Consider the following 13,506-nt stretch of genomic DNA (forward strand, 5'->3'; position numbering starts at 1 on the left):
TGTGCCCAGCTAGTTTTTGTATTTTTAGTAGAGATGGGGTTTCACCATGTTGGCCAGGCTGATCTTGAACTCCTGACCTCAGGTGATCCACCCACCTTGGCCTCCCATAGTGCTGGGATTACAGGCGTGAGCTACCGTGCCCAGCCATTATTGGTATATTGTTTTGAAACACACACATATAGATAAAGAAAATAAGTTAATGTAATTTTGTGAATATTATTAGGGATCAAGATTTTTAGCATAAAAAAGAGGTATAAAGTAAAGAACCAGAGTAAAGACCCTATAATTTATTTTATTTTATTTTAAGAGACAGAGTCTCACTATCAGCCCAGGCTGGACTTGAATTCCTGGGCTCAAGTGATTCTCCCACCTCAGCCTCCCAAGTAGCTGAGACAACAGGTGCACACCACCGTGCCCAGCTTAAAACCCTGTAATATTGAATTTCAGTTGGAAATATTAGTATGAACTCACAATTTATTTTTCTCTTTTTAAAAAATAGATATTTCCAGCTCAGTCCATTGTCAATCCCAAGAAGCAATGACAACCCAGTAGCAATAAGCATTCTTAGTGACAATTTATAGTTTCTTTTTTTTTTTTTTTTTTGAGACTGAATGTGACTCTGTCGGCCCAGGCTGGAGTGCAGTGGTGCGATCTCGGCTCACTGCAACCTCCACCTCCCGGGTTCAAGTGATTCTCCTGCCTCAGCCTCCCAAGTAGCTGGGATTACAGGCACATGCCACCACGCCTGGCTAATTTTTCTATTTTTAGTAGAGACGGGGTTTCGCCATGTTGGCCAGGTTGGTCTTGAACTCCTGACCTCAAGCAATCCACCTGTCTCGGCCCAAAGTGCTGGGATTACAGGCATGAGCCACTGTGCCCAGCCCAATTTATAGTTTCTAAATACCATTTTCTACTAAAAGAATTCTAAGCTTTATATGGAATAAGGTTGATTCGAAGTCTGAGGCAGGCAGGAATCATACATTTATAAGCCTCAAGGCATCTTGTTGTGCTTAAATACAAGGAAGCGACCTGAGATGAATGGGATCATATCTGTAGCACACTGGAGCCAACTTGAAGGGACTCCCATTGCCATAGATAGGACAATTAGATCATTAAAAGGAATAATGCCTGCAATGGTTGAAGTACATCAAAGATATAAAAATCTGAGTCAAAGAAAAAAACCCTCATAGGACATCTTTGGGATTGCCAGGGCATCAACTCATTATTTGGTACCTTGTTAAGTAAAGGGAAAGAATAAAGCATTTGTCTTGTGTTTCCTGTAAGAATTGTATGTCAGGGTAACCAAATGGTATACGAAGGAAAATCTTTCTTTATAGGAGAATCATAGCTAAAAATTCAAAAAGAAAACTAGAAAATTACGTCTTGGCAGGGTGCTATGGCTCACGCCTGTAATCTTAGCACTTTGGGAGTCTGAAGCAGGAGGATTGCCTGAGCCCACGAGTTCGAGACCAGCCTGGGCAACATGGCAAAACCTCACCTCTACTGAAAATACAAAAACTAGACCGGGTGCAGTGGCTCACGCCTGGAATCCCAGCACTTTGGGAGGCTGAGGTGGGCAGATCACTTGAGGCCAGGAGTTTGAGACCAGCCTGGCCAACATGGTGAAATCCCATCTCTACTAAAAATACAAAAAATTAGCCAGGCATTGTGGCACGTGCCTATAATCCCAACTACTGGGAGGCTGAAGCAGGAGAATTGCGTGAACTTGGGAGGTGGAGGTTGCAGTGAGCCGAGATCGCACCACTGCACTGCGCTTCAGGCTGGGTAACAAGAGCAAAACTCCGTCTCAAAAAACAAAAAACATTTAAACAACAGGGAAGTTCATAATGTAAAAAATAGGGACTTCTGGTGAAAGACAGTGTACTGAACACGTTTATCTGCTCCCTCTGGAAGCCACAGGGACCAACAGAGCAGGAGAGAAGAGACCTAAAAGGTAATAGCCGACCAGGTGTGGTGGCTCACGCCTGTAATCCCAGCACTTTGGGAGGCCGAGGTGAGCGGAGCATTTGAGCCCAGGTGTTCGAGACCAGCCTGATCAACATAGCAAGACCCCATCTCTCAAAAAAAAAAAAAAAAAAATTAGCAGGGTGTGGTGGCAAGCGCCTGTAATCCCAGCTATTCGGAAGGCTGAGGCATGAAAAACACTTGAACCCGGGAGGCGGAGGTTGCAGTGAGCCGAGATTGCGCCACTGCACTCCAGCCTGAGTGACAGAGTGAGACTCAAAAAAAAAAAAAAAAAACAGGGTAATAACAAATGTTGCAAAGTTCAGTGGCGAGATCATAGCTCACTGCAGCCTTCCACCCAATGGGTTCAAGCAATCCTCCCACCTTAGCCTCTCAAATAGCTGGGACTACAGGCATGCACCACCATGCCCAGCTAATTGTTTTTTTTGTTTTTGTTTTTGTTTTTTTTGTAGAGATGGGGTCTCACTGTATTGCCCAGGCCAGTCTGGGCCCTAGTAGCTGATCTAGCAACTTGAGAAACTGGAAATCTAGATGTCTGCATGTGGAGAAGCCAAGAAGCACACTACTATACCTCAATAAAATTATTAATTTTTTTTTTTTTTTTTTTTTTGAGACAGAGTCTCACTCTGTCGCCCAGGCTGGAGTGCAGCAGCGCAATCTCGGCTTACTGCAACCTCTGCCTCCCGGGTTGAAGCGATTCTTGTGCCTCAGCCTCCCGAGTAGCTAGGATTATAGGCACCTGACACCATGCCTGGCTAATTTTTGTATTTTTAGTAGAGATGGGGTTTCACCATGTTGGCCAGGCTGGTCTCAAACTCCTGACCTCAGGTGATCCACCCACCTTGGCCTCCCAAAGTGCTGGGATTAGAGACGTAAGCCACTGTGCCCAGCCTAAATTTTTTTTTTGAAAAGAAAAATAAGAAAAAAAGGAGCAGGCTCCTTTTTACTGCAGAACCCTGGATGGACAGGAAGCACCAGATAAGCTCTAAAAATGGAGTTGAATTTAGAGCTTAAAACAGTTTGAAAGGCTGTATAGGATTCAGTAAATCCCTTCATTCGTTTCTTCCCTTTGTACAACCACCTCCACTTCCCAGCGAAAGACTGGAGGTTTACTCTTAAGAGATGTTGAGCCCAAGGGACTCTGAACTGGGTGGGAGAGGAGAACTGAAAAATAGGAGGTATAAATTGAAGTCTGCATCCTCAACAATGAGGCCTCCACCCCTTCCACTCAGGTGTCAGAGTCTTGGCAGCAGGTTTAGACGCCCCCATAGGACTACTGTGAGGATTAAATGTGTTAATACCTGTAACATGTTCAGAATTGTGCTTGGTAAATAGTGAATGTTTAATATTATTATTATTTTTGAGACAGAGTTTTGCTCTTGTTGCCCAGGCTGCAGTGCAATGGCGTGATCTCGGCTTACCGCAACCTCTGCCTCCCTGGTTCAAGCGATTTTCCTGCCTCAGCCTCCAGAGTAGCTGGGATTACAGGTGCCTGCAACCATGCCCGGCTAATTTTTGTATTTTTAGTAGAGATGGTGTTTCTCCATGCTGGTCAGGCTGGTCTCAAACTCCCGACCTCAGGTGATCTGCCTGCCTTGGCCTCCCAAAGTGCTGGGATTACAGGCATGACCCACCGCGCCTGGACTTAATGTTATTAACAAACTAAACAGTTTATTATTAAACCAAACTAAAAGTGGTTGCTTCTGTAGAGCCTGAATCAGATGGGAAGAAATGATGTCGGGCACTGCTATTTTTCACTATAAGCTTTCAGGAATATTTGGCTTTTAAAATTATGTACATTTATAAGAAGTTTTAAGTAAAAAGTAAAGGTCTGTCCCCACTGTCCACAACATATATAAATTTTAGAACAGGCTTCAGTCACACACCTATTCTTGTGGCTGGAAGCCCCACCAAAATCACAGGAAATGTATAGTAGGGGGAGGAGCTGCTGTCCAAATGGGTAGGGGGTTTTGGGGTTAACACAAAGAATGTTTGGCAGAAAGGCTACTTCATAGATGGCAATGATTGTTGGCTATCTCTTTACAGTTAACAGTTCCCTGGGTTTTTTTTTTTTTAAACATACATACAAACATAGAAAGTGTCTATTTTAGTAATAGGATCATACTACTTGTTTTGATATCTACACACACACACACACACACACACACACACACACACACACACATATAGATAGTGGAGGATGGGCGCAGTGGCTTATGCTTGTTATCCCAGCACTTTGGGAGGCTACTCGGGAGGCTGAGGCAGGAGTATTGCTTGAACCCGGGAGGTGGAGGTCACAGTGAGCCAAGATCACACCACTGCACTCCAGCCTGGGCGACAGAGCTAAACTCTGTCTCAAAAAAAAAAAAAAAAAAAGTGGAGAGGAATTTAGAAAAAGTTGGAAGGCTAAATAGTCCTAGTTGAGTAATTTAGGAATGCTTTATATATTTTTTGTTACTGTTGTTAGAGACAGGGTCTCACTCTTTGTTGCCCAGGCTGGAGTGCAATGGCTAAATCACAGCTCACTGCAAACTTGAACTCCTTGGCTCATGCAATCCTCCCACCTCAGCTTCCTGGGTAGCCAGGACTACAGATGTGTGCCACTGTGCCTGGCTAATTTTTTAATTTTTTCTAGAGACAGGGTCTCACTTTGTTGCCAGGCTAGTCTTGAACTCCTGGCCTAAAGTGATCTCCTGCCTTGGCCTCCCAAAGTATTAGGTTACAGGCGTTAGCCACTGTGCCCAGCTAAGGAGTGCTTTAGAAGACTCCCTGGAGGCAACATAGTTGGCCCAAGATAGTAGAAACAGTTTCTACCTAGTTTCTCTAGAAAGCGCTAGTGTCCTTATCTTCTAGTATGAATAAAATCTTAGGGATGGAGGAGGTGGTGAAAACTGCCTTAAACAGCATTGTTCATTTCAGTAAGTGGAACTTTTAATAACCTTTCTAGTTTCCTGCGTTGCTTCAGAAGACAAGTGTTAACAAGCCATTCTCCTGACTTTAAGCTTGCAATAAAGATTCTAGCACAGCATGTGATTTGTCCAGAGAATTAAACATGCAAGCTTGCATGTTATTTGGAGGCTTATTATGACCTTCTCAGCCTTTCCATTTCTAAAATGATTTCTCTCTTTTGAGTCATTAATCCTAAGTATGCATGTGTGTGTGCATGCATGTGTATTTGTGTGCTGTCATTTATTCAAAGGTGTTTTTACTTAAGTTGATTAATCCAAATGCATTGAAAATGATGCTGACCAAATTAATTCTATTTAAAGCTTAGTTGTTAGCCAAATGCTATATAAAATCTTGTCTAGGAACAGTCTTAATCCTTTCAAATATTTAATACTTAAAAAAAGACTCTAGATCAGGGGTCTCCAACCCCCAGGCCACGGACTGGTACTGTTCTGTGGCCTGTTAGGAACCAGGCCGCATAACTGGAGGTGAGCAGCGCCCAAGTGAGCTTTACCACCTGAGCGCCGCCTCCTGTCAGATCAGCAGCAGCATTAGATTCTCATAGGAGCACAAACCCTGTTGTGAACCGTGCATGCGAGGGATCTAGGTTGCGCAGTCCTTATGAGAATCTAACTAACACCTGATGATCTGAGGTGGAACAGTTTCATCCTGAAACCATTCCCCGCCCCTCTCCCCCTCCCGCCCCTGCCAACCCCAGTGTGTGGAAAAATTGTCTTCCATGAAACCGGTCCCTGGTGCCAAAAGGGTTGGGGATCACTACTGTCAATCATTTGCACAGATGGCTCGAAGACACTGGCTTCTAGATGAAACTGAACACTACCCCTCCATTCTTTACTTACTAGAATTAGACTGTCAAAATGTCGGGAGTGAGTCAGGGCAGGAATCCCTGAGGAGGAAACCTCCTTTTGAGAAGCAGATCCAGGACCCTCTGACATAGTCAGAAAGTAACAGGTCATTTTTTATAAAGAGTTTTTTTTTAGAGCAGTTTTAGATTCACAACAAAATTGAACAGAAGAGACAGAGATTTCCCTTACACTCCCTGCACTCACACAACATAGCCTCCTCCATTGTCACCATCTCCCACCAGAGTGATGCATTTTTTGCAGCTGATCAGTCTACATTGACACATCACCACCCAACGTCCATAGTTTACACTAGGGCTCACTCTTGGTGTTGTACAGCCTATGGATTTGGACAAATTTGCAATGCCCTGTATCTACCATGATGGTATCATACAGAATAGTTTCACCACCCTAAAAATCCTCTATGCTCCACCTGTTCTGTTCTCCCTCTCTCCTCACCCCGGCAACCCTTGATCTTTTTACTGTCTCCATAGTTTTGCCTTTTCCAAAATGTAATATGGGTGAAATCATACAGCATGTGGCCTTTTCAGCTTGGCTTCTTTCCCTTAGTAATATGCATTCGAGTTTCCTCCATGTCTTTTCATAGCTTGATTGCCCATTTTTTGGTGCTGTTTTTCCATTGTTTGGATGTATCACAGTTTATTGATGCATTCACCTACTGAAGGACATCTTGGTTACTTCCAAGTTTTAACAATTATGACTAGAGCTGCTATAAACAACCATGTGCAGGTTTTTGTGTGGACATAAGTTTTCAACTCATTTGGATAAATATCAAGGCAAGCAATGGCTAGACTGTATGGTGAAAGTATGTTTAGTTTTGTAAGAAACTGCCAAACTGTCTGCCTAAGTGGCTGTACCATTTTGCATTCCCAGCAGCAATGAATGAATGAGAGAGCTCCTGTTGATCTCCATCCTCACCAGCATTCCTGGTGAAATCAGTTCTCTGGATTTTGGCCATTCTATTAGGTGTGTAACAGTATATCACCAGTGCTTTCATTTCCAGTTCTCCAGTGACATAGGATGTGGAGCATCTTTTCATATGCTTTTTTGCCGTCTGTATATTTTCTTTGGTGAGATGTCGGTTCAGGACTTTTGCTCATTTTTAATTGGGCTCTTTTCTTTTCAAGATAGGATCTCTCTCTGTCACACAGGCTGGAGTGCAGTGACACCATCATGGCTTACTGCAGCCTTGACCTCCTGGGCTCAAGCAGTCCTCCCACCTCAGTCTCCTGAGTAGCTGGGACTATAGGCACTTGCCACTATGCCTGGCTAATTTTTTTTTTTTTTTTTTGAGATAGGATCTCACTCCGTTGCCCAGGCTGGAGTGTAGTGGTGCTATCTCAGCTCACTGCAACCTCCACTTCCTGGTTCAAGCGATTCTTCCACCTCAGCCTCCCGAGTAGCTGAGACCACAGGTGTGCCACCATGCCCAGATAATTTTTTGGTAGAGACAGGGTTCACCATGTTGGCCAGGCTGGTCTCGACTCCTAACCTCAAGTGATCTACCCACCTCAGCCTCCCAAAGTGCTGGGATTACAGGCGTGAGCCACCGTGCTCAACCCAGGTTTTCTTATTATTGAGCTTTAAGAGTTCTCTGTAAATTTTGGAAAACAGTCTCTTGTCAGACTGTTGTGGATGAATATTTTCTCCCAGTCTGTGGCTTCTCTTTGTATTCTCTTGACAGTGTCTTTCGCAGAGCAGGAATTTTTAACTTCAGTGAAGTCCAGCTTATCATTACTTTCTTTCACGGATTGTGCCTTTGGTGTTGTATCTGAAAAGTCATCACCATACCCAAGATCATCTAGATTTTTCATGTTATCTTCGAGGAGTTTATAATTTTGTATTTTGCATTGCAGTCCGTGATCCATTTTAAGTTAATTTACAAGTCATTTTGCTTTTTAATTTTCAGGCAAAATTCATGAAAAGTTAAGGAAGTTGGAGTAGCATATTAAAACATTTGGAAAAGTATGAATAGGCTTTCTCATTTATTAAGTGTATGGCCTTAAACAAACAACCTTTTAAAGTCTCAGATTCTTCATTTCACAATGAGGATAATAGTACTGACCTCATAGAGTTGATATGAGAACTAAATGAGATTGTACATGTGAAACACTTGGGAGCTTCCCGCTTGCTGAACATGTGGAGATGCTGGGAGTGGGGCTAGCCCAGAGAGGGCATGGAAGCTACACCCCCACCCGCTTGTCCTATCCATCTGTCTGTTCATCTGTGTCCTTTGTAATAACCTTTATAATAAACCGGTAAATGTTTAAAAAAAAAACACTGAACATCACATCTGCATGGTAAGTAGCAGTTGTTCTGGATGGTTCTTGCTATCATGATGTAGATGAAGAAGATGAGGATGTAGACATAAGATGTAAGGAGAATTATGATTTTTTTTTTTCATTCCTCATTGATTCTCAATTCCCTTTTTTGGGTAGGTGGTGGACTTTGTAGCAGCAACATTGCAGAGAGCCTGTGCAAGCCTGGCCCATCAGGCAGAGAGCACCGTGGAATCACAGACGCTGAGCATGTCCATGGGGCTGGTGGCTGTCATGCTAGGAGGAGCTGTTCAGGTGAGTTGTAGACATGAGGCAAGCTTGAATGGAGGGAAGGGAGAAGCGAAATACCAGTTGTTTTCCTTCCATATCCTTGTGAGAAATAAGAATGGATATTGTACATAGGAGAACCTAGATAAAGAAGTTAGTTTGTTAATGAGAATTCTCTCCAAAGTAGAGAACAAGAAAGTTGCACCATTTCTACTCTGTCACCTGCATAGACTTCACTATCAGAAGGGCAGGGTCCTTTCTACCTGTTACAATCTTAATTTGGGAACATCTAGCCTGGTGTTTTGCATCTGAGGTGAATACTAGATTTTCTGGCTCTCACTCTCCAAAGCTCAGCCCTTGTTTCTGCTACTGTTGTTGGGGAAAGTCCTCAACTGGTTGCATAGGATCCATCTATTTTGAATGCTCCATTTTAGCACAGGATTCATTCTTCATCCCTTATCAGGTAGCATGTTAAAGCTTTGCTTCCAGCCACTTTTAAGTATGTATGTCTTTTACATACCTAATTTATAATTTTTAAATTTATTTTTTTAAACACTACATATTGGCCGGGTGCGGTGGCTCACTGAGCCTGTAATCCCAGCACTTTGGGAGGCTGAGTTTGGTGGATCACCTGAGGTGAGGAGTTTGAGACCAGCCTGGTCAACATGGTGAAACCCCGTCTCTACTAAAAATATTTAAAAAAAATTAGCTGGGCGTGGTGGCGGGTGCCTGTAATCCCAGCTACTCGGGAGGCTGAGGCAGGAAAATTGCTTGAACCCAGGAGCCGGAGGTTGCAGTGAGCCGAAATCGTGCCATTGCACTCCAGCCTGGGTGACAAGAGCTAAACTCCATCTCAAAAAAAATTAAACAAACAAAACCTACATATTGCATACTTGTGTGCCACACATACTAAGCTAGGGTGCTGGGAATACAGCAGGGGACAGGGCAGACCGTCATGAAACTTGCAGTCCAGTAAGGAAGTCAGACACTAAATGACTGTTCAGAAATGTACTTAGAATTGAATGAAGGGTCTCAAAAGAGAAGTGGCGGGTACCAAGAGCACATAACATCTAACCTAGGCTGGGAAGATTTCCACTGAGGAAGTGTAAGCGTAAGCTAAGATTTGAAGGAAACTCTTCCAAGTAAGGAAAACATCACGTACAAAGGCTTAGAAGCAGCAAAGAGCTTGGTATACTTGAGACACTGATGGAAGGCTGGTGTTAGTGAATTGTAGAGACCAAGGGGAAGAGCATGCCTGCAAGGACAAAAGATAGTCAAGGGCTAGACCATGCATGTGTGTGTGACTGGCTGATTACATACCGAGTTAGGTGAGGAGTCTGCAGGAAAGCAGAATAGGCTTAGTGTGAGTCTTATGAAATCTACCCTGCAGCCAGCCTGCTCATAACCCTTAGCAATGAGTAGGATACCCTCTGGGAATGGATTTTTGAGCTTGAGGATTCAAATCTGATTCTGATTCTCGATGTATTAGAATATACCTTTCACTAGCCTGTCTAAAAGGAAAGGGAATTTTATCTGGGCCTGTTATTAGTGTGAAGCCCATTTCTTTAGATTTACTTAGCACTTCTAATTATATATTTTCCATATTGTTTTAAAAAAAAAGCTTTTGGTTCAGTTTCTAGAGCCATAGTATACCCTTGCTGTTAGAACTGTCAAGGTTTGGGAGGCCGAGGTGGGCGGATCAGGAGGTCAGGAGATCGAGACCATCCTGGCTAACACAGTGAAACTCCGTCTCTACTAAAAATACAAAAAAAAGGTGGCGGGTGCCTGTAGTCCCAGCTACTCGGGAGGCTGAGGCAGGAGAATGGCGTGAACCTGGGAGGCGGAGGTTGCAGTGGGCGGAGGTTGCAGTGAGCCGAGATCGCGCCACTGCACTCCAGCCTGGGCAACAGAGCGAGACTCTGTCTCAAAAAAAAAAAAAAAAAAAAGAACTATCAAGGAAAGTTTCACTGATGGAATCATTTTTCTTTTTTCTTTTCTTTTTTTTTTTCAGACAGAGTCTTACTCTGTCACCCAGACTGGAATGCAGTGGCACAATCTCAGCTCACTGCAGCCTCCACCTCCTGGGTTCAAGCAATTCTCCTGCCTCAGCCTCCCAAGTAGCTGGGATTACAGGCATGCACCACCACGCCCAGCTAATTTTTTGTATTTATAGTAGAGACAGGGTTTTGCCATGTTGGCCAGGCTGGTCTCGAACCCCTGACCTCAAGTGATTCACCCGCCTCGGCCTCCCAAAGTGTTACAGGCATGAGCCACCACGCTCGGCCGGAATCATTTTTCTTAAGTTGTATTCTTATTGGATTTAGTTGGCCAAATAGATTTTTGTTTTGTTTTGTTTTGTTTTTTTTTGGTTGAATATTGATTTGAATAGTCTTTTTCCACAAGGTGAGAGTGTGCTTTTTTTTTTTTTTTTTTTTTTGGCTTCTCTTTACTTCACACTTATCATTTCAAACCACATCCCAATGTAAGATAGATCACAAAAATCTCCATTTCCCTTTCTAGAAGCCCATTGTTGGAGGGCTGGCTGTGCACATTAGTTGTGTTCTAAGACAGACTCACCTGACTGATATCAAGGTTATACCTTGCAGGCCCCTGCCTTTCTGTGAGCCATCCTGACTCACTGATTACATCCGGCATTCCTCTGACTTTGCAGTTAGTTAAGTGAACATAAGCACGTCACCCCCTATACCTTTGCCCTAGATCTACTACTTTTTTTCTGTTTGAATCATGGATTTGTAAATGGCTTCTATAGTAATGCTGGATTTTCTTTCTTTGTATTAGAAAAAAATGTCATGGTTCTGAATTGTGTTTTCAGTTAATCATTGTCAGGCTAACAATATACTGTTTTTTCCTATTTCTTACTAGGATTCGTTGTTTTGGCTTATTAAAAAAGAATCTAACATCATCTGAACCTTTTTTGTTTCTAATTTATGTAATCAAAGTGATTATTAGAACATTGTGTCTGGGAAGAGGAGTTAATTTGGAAAAAGCATGTATTTAAGACTGCTGACAACAACAACAAAAACAAAATTAAAAAAAAAAAAAGGCCGGGCGCGGTGGCTTATGCCTGTAATCCTAGGACTTCGGGAGGCCAAGTCGGGTGGATCACGAGGTCAGGAGTTCAAGACCAGCCTGGCAAACATGGTGAAACCCCATCTCTACTAAAAATACAAAAATCAGCCGGGCTTGGTGGCGCGTGCCTATAATCCCAGCTACTTGGGAGGCTGAGGCAGGAGAATCGCTTGAACCCAGGAGGGGGAGGTTGCGGTGAGCGGAGACCATGCCACTGCACTCCAGCCTGGCAACAGAGCAAGACTCCATCTCAAAACAAACAAACAAAAATTTATAATTAAAAAAAAAAAGACTGCTGACAAGATAACTGTAGTTCCAGGCTCATTTTCTAAATTTCAGAGTTAGTCACCACTAAAAGTATTATACATTGGTTACTCCTCCCTGTCCCCTCAAGAAGCAGTTTCTGCATGATGTTGTATTGTCCATTGGTCTCTAAAGCACGAGGCTGAGCAGACCATTCCAGACCTTCTTTAGGAAAAACCAAAACCATGTTGTTCCAGGGAGGCAGCAGAGCTTCTGGTTAAAAGCTGGGCTCCAAATCTTGAAATCTAGATTCTACTGGGGTGGGGGCCCATTATTGGGAGAGAAAAGGTGCATCTCTTCTCTAAAGGGGAAGGGGGCTTTAGCTTGGTCTTACTCTACACTGCTTAGGTCATGTTTTTTTTTTTTTTTTTTTTTTTTTTTGAGATGGAGTTTCGCTCGTTGCCCAGGCTGGGGTGCAATGGCACGATCTCGGCTCACCGCAACCTCCGCCCGCTGGGTTCAAGCGATTCTCCTGCCTCAGCCTCCCAAGTAGCTGGGATTACGGTCATGCACCACCACGCCCGGCTCATTTTGTATTTTTTTTTTTTTTGTAGTAGAGATGGGGTTTCTCCATGTCGGTCAGGCTAGTCCCGAACTCCTGACCTCAGGTGATCTGCCCGCTTCCGCCTCCCAAAGCGCCGGGATTACAGGCATGAGCCACCGCGCCTGGCCTGCTTAGGTCATGTTTTTGATCAAAGACCATTGCTCAGACTCTTTGGCAGAAAGGTTACCAGGAGCATGGACTGTGTTTTAGGTGCTGCTGACTTACATATTAGAATCATTGCAAACGATTAGAGGCTGGGGTAGAAGTAGTGGTAAGCAAGCTAGAGGTCTATTGCAGAATGGAGGAAGGGGAGAGAGGGACGAGCCGCTGAAATCTGTTGCATGCTGGTGAGGCGAATTGGTTGAGTCAGTTCCTGTGCTACAATGCTGTCCTTTCTCTTCTTCACCGAGCCCAATTTGGGTGCTCTATAGAACTGCTTGGGAAAATTCCCATTATTTCAAGCTGTTATATAGAACTCCAAAGAGCAGACAATCCTTCTTAATTGCTGTTGCTTTCAAGCAGCCTCATTTAGAGATGTCTTACTTTCTGCCATATTTAATAAACCTGCCACAGTAGGTACTTAATTAACAGTTTTTGAATGGATGGATAAATGGAAGGAAGAAAGAATAAAAGGAAGAAAGGAAAGGTGATGTCTAATGAAGGAGGCATGATTTGTTTTGTTTTGTTTTGTTTTGTTTTGTTTTGTTTTGTTTTTTCAAAAGGGCATGAGCTCAAAAAGTTGAAAAACACTGCCCTCACCCATAGTGAGCAACCTCCAGATCTGGGCACACCCATGGGAGTGTTGTGAATGTTAGTCATGTGTTATCAGGGGCAAAGGAGAGCCATGCTTCTTGTTTTCACAGGCTTTCACTTGATTATCCTCTAGGTAATCCAGTCTTTTATCAGAATTTCCCTAGAGTGGAGAGGCATCCTTCAACTGCTTGTATGCAGGTGATCAAACTGGCTAAAAAAGCCCTTACTTGCAAACCACAGTGCCTCCAATTTTACAACTTAAAAAGAAAATGACTTTCCAGTTAACTAAGCTGACTAGTTCTCTCTAATTCTTTTGCTTTTGAGATTAAACCATCTATTTCTGGAATTGTCTTCATTGTGCTCATTTATACACATCGTTAAAGATTTTCAGAGCTTTGGCCAGGTGCCAGTGGCTCACGCCTATAATCCCAGTGCTTTGGGAGGCCGAGGCAGG

At 43.4% G+C, this 13,506-nt stretch overlaps 1 protein-coding gene across 5 annotated transcripts in view; it reads left to right on the forward strand.

Moving 5' to 3' along the window:
• TANGO6 (transport and golgi organization 6 homolog) overlaps positions 1-13,506 on the forward strand; it is a 241,652-nt gene that overhangs the window by 67,300 nt on the left and 160,846 nt on the right. For all 5 annotated transcript variants that reach the window (NM_024562.2, XM_047434632.1, XM_011523327.4 and 2 more), the window contains one exon: positions 8,255-8,389. In NM_024562.2, the coding sequence (NP_078838.1) occupies positions 8,255-8,389 (135 nt within the window). The remainder of the gene's footprint in view (positions 1-8,254; positions 8,390-13,506) is intronic.

Source organism: Homo sapiens, chromosome 16 (assembly GCF_000001405.40).
Source record: "Homo sapiens chromosome 16, GRCh38.p14 Primary Assembly".
Classification (NCBI taxonomy): Eukaryota; Metazoa; Chordata; class Mammalia; order Primates; family Hominidae; genus Homo; species Homo sapiens.